The following is a 20,344-nucleotide window of genomic DNA, read 5'->3' as shown; positions in this document are numbered from 1 at the left end:
CCAGCCCCATTCTACTCAATCTATTTTAGTTTTCTCCCTCTTGACATTATTCAACCTACTTATCTGTTTCTTTTTCTTCCTTTTTTTTTTTTTTGAGACAGAGCCTTGCTCTGTCGCCCAGGCTGGAGTGGAGTGGCACGATCTCGGCTCACTGCAATCTCCACCTCCTGGGTTCAAGTGATTCTCCTGCCTTAGCCTCCTGAGTAGCTGGGACTACAGGAACACACCACCACACCTGGCTAATTTTTGTATTTTTAGTAGAGTTGGACAGGGTTTCACCATGTTTGCCAGGCTAGTCTCAAGCTCCTGACCTCAAGTGATCCACCCACCTTGGCCTCCCAAAATGCTGGGATTACAGGTGTGAGCCATGGTGTCCGGCCTGTTTCTTATATATTCACTCAGTCCCCCACAACCAGAATATATTTCATGAAAGCAAAGACTTTGTTTTGCTCACCACTGAATCCCCACCTGCTAGAACAATAGTAAACACGTTAGAGACTGAATAAATCTTTGATGAATAAATGGATGAGGCTATCAAGATAAACTTGGCTGAAGTAACCAGCTGCATTGGGCAAGTTTCAACACAGCTTTGGGATTCCTGCCCTTGGCCTGGTGCTACAGTCCAGGTCAGAATGAATAATCTTTCATTCATATTCCAAAAAATATTAAGTGAATCCTTACCAGGTACAAGGCTCTAACTAGGCATTAGAGATATAATGATTATCAAAAACAAGCAATGCTCCTGGAGCTTACAGTCCAAATGCTACCAAACAAGCACACAAACAAATTATGAACTTGGGGCAAGGAAAGGTAACTGCTGCCCCGAATCCCTCTAATGGAAGGATCGTGAATGTGGGGCAAGGAAAGGTAACTGCTGCCCTGAATCCCTCTAATGAAAGGACTTGATCTGGTTTGGGGAGATAGGGAGAGCTGCCCCAAGGAAGTGACGAATAAGCAGGAGTTAAGAGTGGAGAGGAGTGGGGCCGGGCACAGTGGCTCACGCCTGTAATCCCAGCACTTTGGGAGGCCGAGGCGGGAAGATCACGAGGTCAGGAGATCGAGACCATCCTGGCTAACACGGTGAAATCCCATCTCTACTAAAAATAAAAAAAAATTAGTCGGGCATGGTGGCGGGCGCCTGTAGTCCCAGCTACTCGGGAGGCTGAGGCAGGAGAATGGCGTGAACCCGGGAGGCGGAGCTTGCAGTGAGCCGAGATCGCGCCACTGTACTCCAGCCTGGGCGACAGAGCGAGACTCCGTCTCAAAAAAAAAAAAAAAAAGTGGAGAGGAGGAAGGATGACGGGGAGAACATTCTAGACAGAGTGAACAGTATATGGAAAGGTCCTATGGCAAGATAGAGAAGCCTGGTAGTGTGAGGGAGCAGAAGGACGCTAGAGTGTCTGGAGCAGAGACAGCAACAGGGAGGGGTGATCTGAGAGAGCCCGGATGGGTGAGGTTCATCAGTCATAATAGGGGATTTTGCTTTGATCCTAAGAGTGGATTAGAACCACTGATACATTTTAAACTGGGGTGGCAATGGTAGGTGGGTGAAATGATCAGATTTTTGTTTTAAAAAGGTATCTATGGCAAACGATTTTGCATGCATATATTGAACTCAGAGGGCCATATATACACATATTATAGATGGTAGGTAAGAACTCTAGAACGGAACACCTAGGTGCAAATCCCGGCTTTATTACTTACTATCTGTGTATCCTTGGGGAAATTATTTAACCTGTCTATCCCTCAGTTTTGTTTTGTGCAAAATGGGGATTGGCCGGGCGCCGTGTGCTCACACCTGTAATCCCAGCACTTTGGGAGGCTGAGCCGATGGAGGACTTGAGGTCAGGAGTTGGAGACCAGCCTGGCCAACATGGTGAAACCCTGTCTCTACTAAAAATAAAAAAATTAGCTGGGCGTGATGGTGCATGCCTGTAATCCCAGGTACTCGGGAGGCTGAGGCAGGACAATTGCTTGAACCTGGGAGGTGGAGGTTGCAATGAGCCGAGATTGCTCCACTGCACTCCCGCCTGGGTGACAGAGTGGGACTCTGTCTCAAAAATAAAATAAAAAAAGAAAGATGAGGATAATGATAGTTAATGGTAGTACTTATCCTGTAGGGTAACTGTGAGGCTGACAGCAGCTAATAATACATGTAAGGAGTTTAGAACAGTGTTTGACTCACAGTATACATTCAATAATGTTTGTTACTATTATTATAACATTTAATGTTGACTAGTATTGTTATGCTATTGAGCAGATGAAAAACTGAAGTACAGAGAAGTTAAAGCATGTGCCCAACCTTTTTAGGCAAAGTAACAGAGACAAAATTCAAACCCTAAGCCCTACATTATCAGACTTCTCGGTAGCAGAGATAAATAGGACCGGTTGGGTAGGTCAGTTCCCGGTCCGAAGCACCAAAATGAATCAAGGACATTTGTGGGGACAGACCAAAAGGCAAATAGCTCTAAAGTAATTAAGCTACCCTGACAATAGTTATTCATTAGTTTGCCAATATTTTATACGTATACTAAGTAACAGCCCCAGTGCTGGAGAGTGGAAATTCTAAGACAAAATAGACATGTGATCTTGACTTAAAGAGACCACAGTCTAGTAGAAGAGATATGCCAATAAACAGAAAAATGGAGCACTAAAGTGTCACAGGTGTTGTGAATGAATATCTTTTAGGCTAGGCCTTACCTGCTGTCACCTTTCTAGATGGAAAAAAACTCTGCTGGCCTTGGTTCAGTCCTCATTAAGTTAGGATCAATCAGGACGCTATTGGCCATGAGCAACAGAAATGTACAATAAGGATTTTAAAAAAAAATTTTAATGTTTATTTACTTACTTATTTTGTTGAAACAGAGTCTCGCTCTGTCACTCAGGCTGGAGTGCAGTGGTGTGATTTCTGCTTACTGCAACCTCCACCTCCTGGGTTCAAGCGATTCTCCTGCCTCAGCCTCCCAAGTAGCTAGGATTACAGGCGTCCACCACCATGCTCAGCTAATTTTTTGTTTTGTTTTGTTTTGTTTTGTTTTGTTTGTCTGTTTGTTTTTTGAGATGGAGTGTCCCTCTGTTGCCAGGCTGGAGTGCATGGCACAATCTTGGCTCACTGCAACCTCCGCCTCCCGGGTTCAAGCGATTCTCCTCACTCCGCCTCTCGAGTAGCTGGGACTACAGGCGCATGCCACCATGCCTGGCTAATATTTATATTTTTAGCAGAGACAGGGTTTCACCATGTTGGCCAGGATGGTCTCGATTTCTTGACCGCATAATCCACCCGCCTCGGCCTCCCAAAGTGCTGGGATTACAGGTGAGAGCCACTGTGCCCAGTCAGGAATTTTTTTTAACCTCACATAACAAGAAATTGAAGAAGTCAGTAGGCAGGGTTGGCTAATTAAAAGATCTGAGTCCCATCTTTGAAACAATTTCTGGAATAGCCGTCTGAGGAGCTGTGTAGATATTTCCCTGGTGAAAAAAACTGTACCTTGTAAAAATTATTTTTAAAAAGAAGCATTTATAGTCTCTGGAAACTGTCTTAAAGATATATAGCAAATAGAGCAGGCACGGTGGCTCATGCCTGTAATCCCAGCACTGTGGGAGGCCGAGGCAGGCAGATTACGTGAGGTCAAGAGTTTGAGACCAGACTGACCAACATGGTGAAACCCCATCTCTACTAAAAATACAAAAATTAGCTGGGTGTGGTGGCACACACCTGTGTAATCTCAGCTACTTGGGAGGCTGAGGCAGGAGAATCTCTTGAACCTGGGAGGCGGAGGTTGCAGTGAGCCGAGATCATGCCACTGCATTCCAGCCTGGGCGACAGAGTGAGACTCCATCACTCTATCACTCACTCTAGGAAAAAAAAAAAAAGAAGAAGAAGAAAGGCATATAGCAAATAAAGAAACATTTCATGGTAAGAATAGCATGCATCTGGGGTATCTGAGCCATAGCCTGTTCCTTTCCGCTTCCCCCAGCTCAGCACGATGAAGCTCTGCCACAGGTGGGTGCAGACAAGAACATAGGATTTCCTCTTCCCCCAGAGGGCAGGAATATTGCAGGTTACCAGAAACACTTATTCCCCTAGCTCTATGTTGTAGAAGCTAAATTCCAGGCAAGAGCAGCTGAGAGATCTGGAGTTCCTTTCTCTACCCAGTCCCCGCTCACTCACAGGGTAGGAGCTCTACCCGAGACTTGTCAGTCTGAGAATACTGGGACCCTGATTGCCCTCGTTTCATGTTGCTCATAAGGGAGAAGTTCTGCACTGAGAGAGGCAAACTGAGCAGACCAGAGACAACCACCACCACAAGCACACTACTTGTAAAGTCTGGATATTGCTGCAAGAGGAAGAGGCTGCTGTCTTTACCCCTAGCTCTGAAGCAGTGGTGTAGAGATTTTGTCTAGAGGGAGAGAGAGGCCTTCAGAACAGAGAGCTTCAATGTTCTCCCCTAGGGGAACAGGCTTTATTGTGAACAGAGTGTAGAGGGAAGTTCAAATCAAATGATATGAACAAAATATGAATGTGGGGCAAGGAGAGGTAACTGGTGGTAATTAAACAATGGATCTTTTGGTGGTAAGAAATTACGAGGAGACAAGTAGCTTCTTGAAAAAAAGAAGCTAAACCTAAACCATCTAGTAGTTTAACACGAATAATCAGGGAAAGAGACAGTTAAGAAAAGCTCTTTGGGATCAGAACAAGACTCAAAAACTGGCCTTAAAGACTACCCCTGTAAAGGGGCCCAAATATCACAGAATCCTATTGTAGAGCAATTTTTGCCTCACAGCACTGTCAAAAACAATAGAACAATCAACCATCAATTGGTAGAAGCTAATATCTAGGTATGATACCAACAGAGGCAGACAGCATAACAGAGATAAAGGAAAAAGACAGTCAAAGAGAGCCCTGCTAAAACCAGTGGCATCCTAGAGAGGCTGTGCTCATGCCCAAGGCTGAGCTCTTTGAGGAACAACATCAGATGCTGCACCCTGTGAGGGAAATAGACTTTCCTGAAATATAAAAAGAATATTTATTATGGAAGAAAGCTTTATTTCTCTTGTCCTTTCATATTGGGAGAAATATTGAATACATAGAAAGAGTGCTGGATTGCTCTAGCAAAGTTACTAACCAAATAAACAAGCAAACAACAAATCTGTGGGAGCATGGAGAACTGGTATTCAGAGTTGCTACAACATATTATCTAAAATGTCCACTTTTCAAAAAAATTGTTCAGTACCATAGGAAAGGTAAAAAAAAAATTGTGAGACATGCAAAGAATTATATAAATATGTGGAAAAGCAACAAAACACTCTAAAGCAGCACTCAGATTGAAATTTATAGCTGTTAACATGTATATTCAAAAAGAAGAAAAACCTCAAATCAACAGCCCCATGTTCCACTTTAAGAAACAAGAAAAAGAAGAGCAAACTAAAGCTAAATGAAAGAAATAGTAAATATAGAGTAGAAAGAAGTGAAATAGACAGAAAAACAATAGAGAAAAACCCAACAAAACCCAAACTAGTTCTTGGAAAGATGAACAGCATTGATAAACTTTTAGCTAGATTGATCAAAAAACAAAAAAGAGAGAGAAAAACTCACATTACTAAAATGAGGAATCAAAGGGGGGACATTACAAAATCTAAAAAGGAATATTGTTAACAATTATATACCAACAAATTAGGTAAACTAGATGAAACACACAGACTCCTAAAAAGAAACAACCATCAAAACCGTCTCAAGAAAAAATAGAAAATCTGATAGATCTATAACAAGTAAAGATACTGAATCAGAAAACTTATCACAAAGAAAAGTTCTGGCTCAGATGGCTTGGTAAACTCTATCAAATGTTTAAGGAAGAATTAACATCAATCTCTCACAAACTCTTCAAAAAAATATAGAAAGAGAGAACACTTCCCAACTCCTATGAAACCAATATTACCCTGATACTAAAATCAGGCAAAGACATTACAAGAAAGTTACAGATCAATATCTCTCATAAATATAGATGCAATAATCTTCAACAAAATTCCTGTAAATCAAGTCTAGCAACATATAGAAAGTATTATAAACCACAACCAAGTGGGATTTATCCCAGGAATGCAAGGCTGGTTTAACATCCAAAAATCAATTCATGTAATATACAATATTAATAGAACAAAGGAGAAAAACAACATGGTCATTTCAACAGAGGCAGAAAAGCATTTGGGAAAATACAACACTTCTATGATTTTAAAACATCAACAAGCTAGAAACACAAAAGAATTTTCTCAACTTGATAAAGGGCCTCTATCAAAAACCCACATTTACCATCATTCATAATGATGAAAAACTGAATACTTTCCCCTTAAGATCAAGAACAAGAAAAAGATGTCCATTCTCAACACTTCTATTTGCCACTTCTTTTTTTGTTGTTTTTTGTGTTTGTTTTATCCTTAGCAAACTAACGCAGGATATTTGCCACTTCTATTCTGGAGGTTATAACCAGAAAAAACAGGCAAGAAAAATAAATACAGACATTTAACTTGGAGAGGAAGAAGTAAAACTATTTTTACTAAACATGACATAATTTTGTATAGAGAAAACCTTTAAAAATCACTCAAAACTATTATAATAAATGAACAAGTCAGCAACTATGCAGGATACAAGGTAAATATACAAAAATCAATTGTATTTCTATATGCCAGCAACAAACAATCTAAAAATGAAATTTAGAAAACAATTTAAGAGATAAACCTGGAATCCTAAATAAGTGGGAACAACCTGAAAGTCCATCAAGTGATTAATGGATAAATAAAATGTGATATACCCATACAATGGAATCTTATTTAGCAATAAAAAGGAATGAAATACTGATATAAGCTTCAACATGGATGAACTTGAAAATATTATGCTAAGCGAAAGAAGCCAGCAAGAAAAGGCCACATGTCATATGATTCCATTATACAAAATGTTCAAAATAGGCAAATCTATGCAGACAGAAAGCAATTTAATGGCTGCCTAGGGTTGGGGAAGTTGAGAGGAAGTGGCAAGCTACTGTTAATGGTAAATTATTTCCGTAGTGATGAAAATATTCTAAAATTGTCTGGAGTAATGGTCGCACAACTTTGTGAATACACTTAAAACCATCGAAGTAGGTCTATCATATGGTATGTGAATTATATGTCAATAAAGCTGTTCTTTAAAAGTTTCATCTTTGTTGTATTTAGTGTCAGATTGTTTTCATCTAACTTCCTCATAGTCATAAAACTACTGCCATGGCTCCAGGTATCATATCTTCATGAGACAATATCTAGAGTAAAATAAAACAGTGTGTGTTAGGAGATTGCTTTCTCATATTTCTTTTTAAGATTGAAAAAACCTTTCTCAGAAACCTTCAGGCACAATTCCTCTCACAACTCATTGGTAAGAATTGGGCCTTATGTCCAACCTTAATATCAGGAGAATATCACTTCTCTACTCAAAATCCTCAAAGATTTCCCTTCTTACTCAGGGCTAAAGTCCTTATGATGGGCTACAATAGCTTATGTGACTGAAGCATTGCCTCTTACCCCTCAGTACTACTTTGCTACAACCTCTGTAGAATTTATGGGGTCCCTGTTGTGGCAACTCTAAGTACGTTTCAGCATGTCTCAACAGCAGCTTAGCCCTGAATCATGTTTTGGGTACAGCCCAATCTTTCACAAGTCTATCTGTATGCTTTGCTCTGTGACAAGGACACTGTCTTGCCAAGGATGCTGTAAATGTTTTTGAAGTGGGGAAGAGTCTAATTCCAAAATGTTTTAGTATTGTTCACAGAAACAATGAATAAATCATATCCACAACTTGAATTTTTTATGTTTGGTTCAGAAATAATTTGTTCATGTCTAGTATTTTTTTAGTACTTGTAATATTTAAGATTTTGGGGCATATTGGAGTATCTAAGAGATTAATTCATTATTTTAATTGAAATGTGTAATTGAGTAATTGGTTTAGATTTATGATTTTACATTAAAAAGTATAAGCAATTTTGTTAAGTGTGTAAACTGATTTGGTACATTTAAGAAGGCTTAAGGGTCAATATATTACAAGCGTTATTTAAATATCTAAAAGGTTTTGGGCTGGGCCTGGTGGCTCATGCCTGTAATCCCAGCACTCTGGGAGGCCAAGGTGGGTGGATCACCTGAGGTCAGGAGTTCAAGACCAGCCTGGCCAATCAAGGCGAAACCCCATCTCTACTAAAAAATACAAAAATTAGCTGGGCGTGGTGGCACGTACCTGTAATCCCAGCTACTCAGGACTGAACCCGGGAGGCAGAGGATGCAGTGAGCTGAGATCGCGCCACTGCATTCCAGCCTGGATGACAAAGCGAGACTCCATCTCAAAATAAATAAATAAATAAATAAATAAATAAATAAATAAATAAATAACAGGTTATTAGTCAGATAATTAAAGTACCTAAAAAGAAAACCAATTATATTAAATTTATTAATACAGTTAAAAATGTTTAAGTTAATTGCAAAGGCTTCCTTAAACTTGGTTATTAAAGTTTACTAGATCTAGAGGTTAAAAAGTAAGATTTATAAGCTGGATTTAAAAGTTTAAGAACTAGAATTTTCTTAGAACTAATAATTTCTAACCTTAATACATTTAATATTAAATCTAAAGTAATCAAAAATAGTTTTATCCATGTATAAAAGTCATCCTCAGGAGTCGTAAACTGATGTTTCAGGGATGGGCCCATGACTCACTGGAGCCAATGAGATATAAGAAAATGCCAGGATTTCTGGAAAGGTGAAGTTTTTTTTCCCCCTATAAAGCCTACCAACGCATGCCTTTTCTCTTCCCTTAGTCAATACTGTAGACGATACGAGGTCTAGAACAGGAGAACCATCATCTGCCCAGGAGAACCAAGGCCTATTTTATGATGGTGCAAATGTAGAGCCAGAGGAAGAAGCAATACAATGCTGTGAGAGCCAAAGGAAATGGGCCCCTGGTGACACCATTTGATGTCATCAACCTTTACCTGAACCTACACCTAGGCTCTTTGGTTACATGGTCCTATAAATCTCCTTTCCTGTTTAATTCCATTTTAGTTGAATTTTCTGAACATGTCCTGACTAGTAGAAGGATCCAGCAGAGTGCAACGGATTGAGCCTGGATTTGGATTTAGACATAAACTAGTTCAAATCCTGACTTAGCACTCACTCGCTGTGAGGGCTTGATCAATACTTCTCCTCTCTGGGTCGCAGTTCTCTTCCGAAAAATGGCAATAACTCCTCCACCCATATACCTAAGGTACCCAGCATAGTGCCTCTGCAGTACTGTACATGCCTAATCAGTGTGTTCATTTAGCATGTTATAGGTGCTAGGGACCAATCGGGAGCAGAGTCCCTGTCCTCATGGCTAAGCCCATTCTTTCCCTCTTTCTCCTTTTAGTTTTGTATGCTCACATCATGCATGTCCCAAAAGTAATTGAGGAGCTGAACTGAGTCACTTCTTCCCATCCACCAGCAACGCAGAGTCCAAGTTATTTCCCTCCCCAAGACACCAGTGCATTTTCTTCCTCTGACAAGACTCCCAGGATCCCTTTGGTTGATGTTGTAGTTATTTGCTTTCACAGTTTACTGTCCTCACTGAACTCAGGGCATCTCCCTGACACCCAGCATAGGACCTGGTATACAGCAGGTACTTAATAAGTGTTTGATGAATAATCAATTTAAACACAAACAAAGCTCCTAAAACTCTCATCTTGTCTGTTTTCTTATACATATAAGATAGGGACAGTAGTTACCTGCTCTTGGTGGATTCTTCTTGCCCATGAATGCCTACTCTGGTTCCTGCAAACTAGAGGCATTGCACCCCTTCTCAGCTGTCTCACCTCGTGCTTGATCACCCATCTCTCCAGTGGGATCCTGAAGCTGTTGGTGATTAAGGGACTAAAACCATAGCAAGCTAACAGCTGATGTGGTGGCATCCATCACTGGAGTCATTTTTCTGCCTTGGATTTGCCAGTGGATGAGATTGAGATACACTATTAACTTTGATGCTTCACTGGAGGGCTGTTTTGTGCCTTCGGTAATGAGACTTGGCAGTTCTTTTCTATTCTCTACCGGGGCTAGAGCTCAGCCTGTGATTCCAGGCATCTGATTAAATTGTCCTGTGAATTTGTCTTTAATTCTCAAACATGAGTAAAACCAAGTCCTTTGGGAGCATTTTCCTTCATCCACCTCTATACCTGTTAGAAATGTGTTCAATGCAAGAAACAGAAAAGCTAACTGTATTGGTTCTAAACCAATAGAGGTTCGTTTTTCCAATATAAGAGGCCAGAGGCAGATGGCTGCTAGTTTTGGTTCAGCAGCTCAACTATGTTAGGAGACATGACTCTGATTCTCTTGACCTTTCACTCATGGTAAAGAGATGGCTGCCACCACACCAACCATCGTGCCTGTGTTCAAGACAGAAGGGGGAAAAAAACACTTCGAGAACCCCCACCCTCACCCTACATCCAACGTGGCAGACTTTTCCTTACGTTTCGTTAGCCAGAAGTGGGTCAAAAGGCCACCCTTAGCTAGCTTTGAGCAATTGTGATTCATGTCTCTTCCTGGGTATGTCTACCTCAGCCTTCTTCAGATGCTGCTGCAGCTGTACTCAGGGATTAGTGCTTCGAGTTGCAATCTTCTATGTTCTCATCCAACCCCTGTGTGAGCTGGGGCCTCCTTGCCTCTTGAGATCTAAATATGATTGGCTAGAACACTCGGCTGTTAAAGATTTCCTCAAGGTATCCTTGAGTTTCCAGGGTTGGGTAGGAAGATGGCTGATGCCTTCAATGTCAGTTCCAGCTTTGGGCACCTGCTTTCCCAAGTGGTGTTTCTGTTCCACACTGAGTCCCTTCCAATGTCTCTCATTCTGCTCCATCCTCTCCACTATCACCACCCTGTGCTCCTTCAGCCAAAGAAAAGAAAGCAAATGAGTAACAGCCAATCATAAAGTCTTGGGACTTTGATACCTGAGACAAAGCTCAGCCAATCATAAGTCTTATCACACCCTCTCCTTCACCATGACCTTCTTTATGTATATACATCCTGAGGTGGAGAGTTTCATCTTCTTTTTATGTGCAGTGAGCATGTATAAATGAGTATGAGTTCATATAAAATCTCACACAAGGCTTCTATGCCCATCATCTCACCAGATTTCTCAGAAATCCTGGGGTAGGTGTGAGAAGGTCCCCCCTGCACCCGGACCTGCCTGACTTTGAGCCCATTTGCCTTTGAGTTTCAACCCTGAGTCTTAGAGAATCCCATTACAAGAGTTAGGATTTTTTGTTGCAAATAACAGAGACCTTGCCCCCCAACCCCCACCCAACTTTAGCTTAAGGGAAGAAAGTATACAGTGACACAGCTGTTTTTCCTGATGCTCCAAGGACAAAGGTAGAGCCCAGACCTGGGACCCAGAAGTCCTGCAAGAGACTGTCACTCACTTCATTCTGCTGTACCCTTCCTTCAATGCAAACTGGCTTTCTCTGCGTCTCTGCCGCAACCACCAAGAGCTGCAATGCTTTTATATAATAGTTCCTGCATTCAAGAGACCAACCCAAACTAAGCTCTTTGTCCCAAATCAATATTCCCAGGAAAGAGATTGGTTCAGCCAGGATCAAGGATCTAATCAGCTATGGAGGGAGGAATGGGGTCACATTGCTTAAATATGACAGCCTAGTGAGCTTAAAACCAAGCTCCAGTGAGTTATCTGGGAGCATGCAGGCTATTAAGAATTTCATTTCGGCTGGGCCTGGTGGCTCAGGCCTGTAACCCCAGCACTTTGGGAGGCCGAGACCAGTGGATCACTTGAGGTCAGGAGTTTGAGACCAGCCTGGCCAACATAGTGAAACCCCGTCTCTACTTAAAAAATACAAAAATTAGCTGGGTGAAGTGGTGCATGCCCGTAGTCCCAGCTACTCTGGAGACTGAAGCAGGAGAATCACTTGAACCCCAGGAGGCAGAGGCTGCAGTGAGCTGAATTGGCACCACTGCACTCCAGCTTGGGTGACAGAGCAAGACTCAGTCTCAAAAAAAAAAAATTATTCCTGATAAAATTGAGGAGCATTGCAAGAAAACACTTCCTTTTTAATCCATCCCCTTCTTCCTTCTTTGACTTTGGTTTTATGAAATGACAGCAGCTATTTTGCAACCATGAGACAGACAACAAACCTGAGGACAAAAAGCCAACACAGCTGTATCAGCTAGCTTTTGCAAACAAAATATTCTGAAATGTAGTCGCTTAAAATAACATTTATTGCTTAGGATTCTGTGGGTCAGAAATTTGGGCTGGATTCAGTTGGGATGACTTATCTCTGCTCCACATGGTATTGCCTGGGATTCTTTTTATGTCTGGGGTGTCCAATGGAATGGCTGAGTCTCCCTCCGTGAGGTGGAGGTTGACCCAGGCTTGTTCACACGGCAGCAACACCTCAAGAGGACAAGAGTGGAGGCCCAGGCTTAGAACATTTACACTCTCACTTCCATTGCATTCTACTGATCAAAGACAGTCACATAGCCAGCCTGGGTTCAGAAGGTGGAGAAATAGACTCTATGTTTTGATGGGGCCATTTGCAATCTAGCACAACAGACAAGGATGGTTAGTAGAAAAACAGAAAAAGTCTGGCCAGAGATGACACCTTTCTTGAGCTGTTGCAACAACGTAGAACAGGCCTCCTTCAGACTTCATTATATGATTATACAGTTAAATGTCCTGTTTTAAAGAAGGCACTCTTTTACTTGCAAAGGGGTCCCTAGCTTATACACAAGAGATAAGAATAATATCTATTCATCAGAGTGTTGGGAGATGAAACGAGATATGTACGTAGAGCCCTTAGCAGAGTTCCTAGGATACAGTAAGCACTCAGGAAAAGTTTACAGGTATTGGCAATTATGGGGGACTGGTCCATTCCAAAAAGGCATTAGCCGTTCTCATCCTAAACAGAACACACACCCATTAGGGACTTCTATTAGCAACTTCCAAAGGGGACAAGCATATGCTGCGCCCAGCCCCACAGAGACCATACAGGCCAGTTACTAGGGGTCAGTATGGACTGTGCTTAGGCCGTCAGCTGCTGCAGAAAGCTGGGGTCCCATAGGAAACTAAAACTTCAGGCCCACAAAGAGGGGTTCCAGCTCCAGTTCTAAGCAGAGAGGCCGGAGGAAATCACTGAGGTTTTTTTGATGGGGAAACTGAGGTCCAGGGAAGACAGATGACATGCCCAGAGTCACACAGTGAGTTTGGAGCCAAGTCACAAGAGAACTCAGCCTCCTGACTCGCAGCCTAGAGCTTTGATCATTAAACTATGTCCACTCAGAAACGGTTTTGCTCTTCCCCCACCAAGAATGGAAATTCTTGAAGGGTTATACCCTGGGGATAAAGATGTGGCTAAAAGGCAAAACTGGAAGTAAAAGTACTTGCCCATGAATAGTGATGGGTGGTGGCCAAGCTTCTGGAGGACATGGTCTGTTTCTTGGCCTGGATGTTGGATGCTGGATATATGGGTATGTTCATTCTGTGAAATTCATAGAGCTGTATGTTTATGATCTATGTTATATTTCAATTAAAAAATATTTAAAAACTGCTTCTCCAAGATCTTATCCCTACTAGAGGGCTCGTGGAAGGCAGACACAGCTTGGTGTCATGGAGAAGGCATTGAATAAAGGCTTAGGAAATTTGGGTTCTAGACTTACCCAACACTTACTAGCTGGGCAACCTTGTCTTAATGGCCTGAATGTCTGTTTCCTGATTTCTGAGACAGGAATATCAACACTTCTTCCACTAAAGCCGTAGGCTGGTTTGGGGGGCAAACAAGATCATAGATGTGAAAAGACTTAGGAAACAATCAGGTATGTGTGCTACGTACTGTCCAGGTGAGCGTGCATCATTCTCCTTTTGCAAGTGATTGTGTGGGGCAGTGGGAGGGGGGCTGTTCCGGCTCAAAGTGGGCGACTCAGTCCTCACAGAAGCAAATTAGAACCCGGCCTTGTGCATCAGCTGTGCTGAACCTCAGAATCCTGTTTTTATGCGAGGGCTGCAGATCAAGGCAAAATCAAGACAAATGTGATTTCACTGGGGCAGCCGGTCTCTGTGTCCCAGGCATGCGTACCCTCTGTGGAAGCTGAGGCTCCGCTGACATCACCGCGGTTAGCACCCTCCTCCACATCGGGACAGTAGGAGGCTGCTCCAGGTCATCAGGCCCGAGGGAGGGGTAGATGGAGCTCTCCTAGATTGGCAGGGCCAGTGGAGGGACTGTTGACAGCAAATTAAAAGTCTCTGGCAATCTGGGTCCTCATCTCTCATGCCATTGGTGTCTGTGAAATTGTAATTTATGGCTAGAATTAAAGGCTAAAAGGAAAATACCATGGCATGAGACCAAGGGCTGAGGTGGGGCAGGAGTGCAGGTAGGTTAGGGACTGAGTGTCGGGGGCACCGGCTGCTGCCAAGACCTGTGGGTGGACTGAGGTCTGAGAGGTCAGTTCCAGGTCAAGTGCATTCTGAGACCTCTCTCCACATGCACACCCAGCCCCCTTCACTGTGCTCCACTTACAGCTCTCACTAGGACCCACTTCATTTTTAGTGTATTTCTGGCACTCCTGCATCCCTCAGGGCCCTTCCACCCTTCTCTCCGCTCATAGCTGCTCACGGCAGCACCACTGACTCTGCCTGAGGACTTCCTCCAGCTGCAGGAGCTGCTCAGCCTGCACGGGCCAGCCCAGAAGTGCCCAGGAGCTGAGGGCCCTGGGAGCAGCCCTTGGCCACTAAAGAACAAAAGGTGCTGGATAGATACCACCATTCCCCTCGCTCCGCAGGTGAGTCGCCAGCCGTGTAGTCATCAATGTTCTCCAGAGAAACAGAAGCAAAGGGATATCTACACATAGACATAGATAGAAAATGATTTATTACGAGGGATTGGCTCACGTGATTATGGAGGCGGACAAGTCCCGCTATCTGCTGTTTGCAAGCTGGAGGAGGCCCAGGAAAACTGGTGGCGTGGTTAGTTCCAATCTGAGTCTGAAGGCCTGAGAACCAGGTGCTTCCTGTCTCTCTCAAACAATCTACTTATGCTCAAATCCTAACTCAGGGCCTGCTTCTGAGAGAACCCACTGCAAAGCGTGCACTGTGTGTCTTCCCTGCTGGAATGTACACGCTTAGGAGCGAGGGACTCTGGTCCACTGATGTAGTCCAAGTACCTAGGATTGTGCCTGGCACATCAGAGGCTCTGGAAAAACATTTGTTGAACAGATTGTTTACACACTGAATGGCAATTCAACAAATAGTTCTGAAGTGCCTACTTTGCCAGCTCTATGCCAGGCATCCAGGACATACCTGGAACAAGACAGAAGGGAGTCCTACCCCCTGGTACTCATCGTCTAGTGGGAGGAGAAAAATAGACAAACCCACTGCAGGCCATCAGTACTGAGATAATGACACACAGAGGGCTGTGGGGGCACAGAGGAGGCCCCAGTGGACACTCTGGGGTGATAGCCTGGAGCAGGGCTGGCTTTGTGGGCATGTGACCTGTGTGGTCAGGCCCTGCCCTTGGAAGGGCCCTAAACTTGGTGTATTTTTTTATTTTTATTTTTATTTTTTTGAGATGGAGTCTCACTCTGTCACCCAGGCTGGAGTGCAGTGGCGTGATCTCGGCTCACTGCAACCTCCGCCTCCTGGGTTCAAGCGATTCTCCTGCCTCAGCCTCCTGGGTAGCTGGGATTACAGGCATTCGCCACCACAGCCGGCCTCTAAACTTGGTTTAATGCTTTGCTGTTGCCATCTTGAAATTCCTAATTATTTTTGAACTTTTTCATTTTGCACTAAGTCCCACAAATCATGTATCTGGTCCTGCCTGGAATGATATCCCCACTGAGACCGGGGGTGCTGCATGAAGGCAGGTAGGCTGCAGAGCTCTGTGTTCCATGAAGGAGACACAGCATGTGTAGAGGCTCAGAGATGAAAGGGAGCCCAGTATGTTCCAGAAACTGTAGTACTTTGGTTCGGTTGGAGCACAGAGGGTATGGGGTGCCAGAGAAGGTGGCAGGGGCCACACTGAAGGGCATTGTGGGTCTCCCATGCTCAGGAGTCTAGACTTTATCCAAAGGCCATATCACGTGTTAAGAGTGGGGCAGGAGGGCACAGGGGGCAAGACCGTGGCAGCGAGACCTGTCTGAGCCTGTTCCAAGAATCTGAGGCAAAGAGATAGTGAGCCTGGCAGATTTGAATGACACTTAGGGGGTGAAAGAGAGTACTCGGAGGCTGATTGAATACAGAGGAAGAAACTGCCAAAGTCTGTTTAGACTTCATATTCAGAACCCCTAGGGAGTGGAGTGGTCCCGCAGGCGTGGGCACCGTGCCTTTTGGATGCTTGCTTGTGACGACACATTTCTGCTCAAGCCGGGGGAGATGAAACCCCCGTGGGGAGAGGCTTGGCTCTGGCCTCTCTTCTCCCGGCACAAACACAGGCTTCAAATGAGCTTTCTGTCCAGAACTTTAATATGTTAAAAATGACTGTGGAGCTGGACTCTGCCTCCCAGTGCCTGATGCTGCAGGAGTGGAAGCCTCCCGGGGCATGAGAGGGAGAGAGGGGATGATGAAGGGGACCTGACTTGATCCTGCTAGAATCCCCAAGGTCAGACTGTTCCATTCTGGAGAATCCTGGAACACAGAGTGTTGGAGCCAGAAGGAAAGTTAGCTGTGGTCTCATCTGACCTCCTTCCCATGACAGATGGGAGCAGACCCTGCAGAGAAGAAATGAATTGCACAAGGTCACAAGGAGGGTTGGAGAACCCTGGGCTCCTGGCCCCTGCTCTGGGGCTCTGACTCCCAACCCCTGGCACCCCTTACTCCAGAGGATTTGAAAGGCACGTCACTCAAGGTCACAGGATGCCTCTGGCTTTTTACATAATTAAAGATGGGGGTCTCTCTATGTTGCCCAAGCTGGCTTCAAACTCCTGGGCTCAAGCAATCCTTCTGCCTCGGCCTCCAGAGCAGCTGCATGTAAATTACAGGTGAGCTCTACCATGCCTGGCCGCTTCCTTTGTTAATGAACGAAAACTCTAACTTAAAATGCTTTATACTGATGGTTTTCCAAGTGTGGTTCCCAGACCAGCTGGCATCAGCATCACCTTGTTAGAAAGGCCAGTTCTTGGCTTTACCTACTGAATCAGAAATTCTGGGGGTGGAGTTCAACCACCTGTGCTTTAACAGGTGATGTTAATGCCCACTCCAGTTTGAGATCCACTGCCTTAAGCAGTAAAGATGTCTATCATCACACAAATCAAGACGCCCAGGGTTGGTTATCTCAGTGGCCCAATGACTATAGGGTCCCAGGTTATGCCTGTCTTCCCATTCCTCCATCCTCAGTGTGTGGGCCTCTGACTTCAGGCTTGGACTCTCCCAATCACTAGGTGGCTGCTCCATCCACAGCTTCACCATGACTTCAAGAAGCAGAGGAGATGGACTCCCCGGACATCCCTTTTCATCAGTGAGAAAATCTTGCCTGGAAGTTCCCTAGCAGACATCCCCTCATATCTCATTGGCCAGAATTGGGCTGTGTTCCCTCCTCAAACCAATCACTGCCAAACCAATCACTGGGAAATGGAGTTATGATTAGTTAGGAGTAATCTTCAGCTACAGAGAGGAAATACAACCTAGTAACACAAAGGCACAGGTCCTTTGCAGCAACCTGGATGGAGCTGGATACCATTATTGTAAGTAAAGCAACTCAGGAATGGAAAACCAAACATTGTATCTTCTCACTGATAAGTGGGGGCTAAGCTGTGAGGACAGAAAGGGATAAGAATGATACAATGGACTATGGGGACTCGGGGAAGGGTGGGAGGGGTGAGGGACAAACGACTAACCACTGGGTACAGTATACGCTGCTCGGGTGATGGGTGCACCAAAATCTCAGAAATCACAACTAAAGAACTTCTTCATGTAACCAAATACCACCTGTTCCCCCAAAACTTTCAAAATAATAATAATAATAATAAAGCTGAAACAAAAAACACAGCTCCTGGAGCCCCTTCCTCTTCAAATCCTAGTTTTGCCATTTACTAGCTTCCTGACCTTCATCTAATTACTAAACCTGCTGGGTGTGGTGGCTCACGCCTGTAATTCCAACACTTTGGGAGGCCAAGGCAGGAGGACGGCTTAAGCCCAGGAGTTCAAGACCTGCTCTGGCAACATAGCAAGATCCCATATGTACAAAATATATATATATATGTTTTTTAATTAGCTAGGCATGGTGGTGCACACCTGTTTTTTAAAAAATTACTTAACCTGTGTGCCTCAGTTTTCACATCTGTAAAATGGACATAATAATATTTATCTCAGGAGTGTCAGGAGGACTAAGTGGATTCATATTTGTAAAGCACCTAAGACAATACTTGGCTATAGAAGAATTTGTTAAAGAAATATCATATGTAGTTCTTTATCTTGCTTTTTTGTAACTTAACTATGGGGCTTGGAGATCATCCAGTAACAATACAGAGGCCACTTCCTCATTCTCCTTTTTATTGTTATTATTGTTGTAGGATATTCCATTTCATGAGTGTATATAATTTATTCAATAATTGTTTTAATTTATTTGCAATTACAGAGTTGCAGCGGATAAGCTTGTCATGTTGTTTCATGTGTGTGAGTATCTATTGTAGGACAAAATCCTATAAATACAATTGCTGGGTTGAAGGATTTGTGAATTTGTAATTTGATAGACATTGCCACATTGCCTTCCATAGAACGTTACGCCAATTTACACTCCCACCAGCAGTGCATAAAGGTGCACGCCTCTCCACAGCCTCACCACCAGAGTAGTTACCATTTCACCACACCCCTCCACCCATGACAATCCGTGTGTGTTGTTGCCTTCAATTGCCCAGGAAGAAATAGACCCACGAGGAAAGACAACTTGGCTGAGACGGATCAGTGAGCTGCAGGAAGTCCCAGATGAGGACCCTCCTCAATCCCAGTACCACACTTCACAGTTTACAAAGCACTTCCCGTCCTACAGTAGACCATCCCTTGGGTCCCATACTGTGTACAGCAGCTCCCAGGATGCTCTCACTCCCAGCAGCCAGCACCTGTGTCTTTCAGAGGACAGTTCGTAGCCTGCTCGACCCAGCTTTGCCTGTACGTATGGAGAGCTGGAAGTGCCTGGAAAGGTATGTCCTCCAGAGGGGAATTTACTCCCTCTAATTACCAATGAGCACAGGAGTATGAATACCCCAGCTCCCTTGCCCCCCAAATGGGCCAACTCTGAGGTATGACTTATGCCACCTCCTTTGCAGGACAGACCTGGTGGGGCATGGTCTTGCTGGCCCTGCCTGCTTCCCCTTCCTCTAGCTGTTCCTGGAAATACTTCACACACAGTAAGTCATTTTCACAGGAATCCTTGGTTCAGGGTCAACTTCTGGAGATCCCAACCTAAGACACCTCCATGGTCTCCTTCATGCTTCCCTGTCATTGGACCCATTGTACAGATGAGAATACAGTGGCCAGTTAGAATTGACACAGCTACCAAGTGGCTGTGGTGGGGACTAGTACCTAGGACTTCTAGCTCCTCATCCATGTTCCTTCAAAGGAAGGACCGTAACTCCAGCCAGAGCTGAAAATGAAATCTGTCTCTTTTTTCTTCTCACCTCCTGAATGCAGTAAATTCATGAACACCTGCCCGTGTGTGCATCTCTCCATATGGTGTGTCCCTGGGCCTCTGCCTCTTCTCGTCTCCAAAGTGAGTATGCTGTCTGATACTAAAATCGGTTCAGTATTTCATGTGGGTCACATCCTACATGTTGAGTTTGACTATAATTGCGCCAGGCAGACCATAATACATTTATTTAACACTAACATACTTTAAATTCGGACCTCTTGCATGTTATTTGCATCTATTTGATTGGGGAGGGGAATGAACAGATACACCTCCTGCGTTGGTCAAGTTGGCCTCTCATGACCTAGGATGGGAGCTGAGGACCAACAGGCTTGCCCCTGTCCCAGGGTCTGTACTTAAATCAGTGGCTTAGTTGACTCCCACCCTGCTCTGTCTACATACAGGGCAGAAGCTAAGGCGCCTATGTGAGCCTTATGTTGCCCCAGGGCTCACCTTGCCTAGGACTGGGGTGATGCCTCCTCTGTGTCCAAATGTCCACTCCCACACATGTCACTCGAGGCCATGAGCTCCATGAAGTCCAACAGCACCTCTGGTCACTGCTGCATTCCCAGGGCCCGGCATGCAAAAGATGTTTAAAGCACATTTTGGTCAGATGAATGAATGAATGAACGAATGAGTGAATGCATGAATGCACACCGGCTGGTTCATCTTTCCAAAGCACAGTTCGG

General features: G+C 44.1%; 1 long non-coding RNA gene across 1 annotated transcript; it reads right to left on the bottom strand.

Moving 5' to 3' along the window:
* Positions 1 to 16,480: 16,480 nt before the first annotated feature.
* LOC124904859 (uncharacterized) lies at positions 16,481 to 20,344 on the bottom strand. The gene is made up of 2 exons (XR_007067500.1): positions 20,109 to 20,344; positions 16,481 to 16,743 (listed from the first exon to the last, which is right to left on the bottom strand). It is a non-coding gene; the product is annotated as an uncharacterized LOC124904859 (long non-coding RNA).

Source organism: Homo sapiens, chromosome 20 (assembly GCF_000001405.40).
Source record: "Homo sapiens chromosome 20, GRCh38.p14 Primary Assembly".
Lineage (NCBI taxonomy): Eukaryota > Metazoa > Chordata > Mammalia > Primates > Hominidae > Homo > Homo sapiens.
The sequence above is the reverse complement of the archived record's forward strand: the minus strand, read 5'-3'. Positions and strand labels throughout refer to the sequence as shown.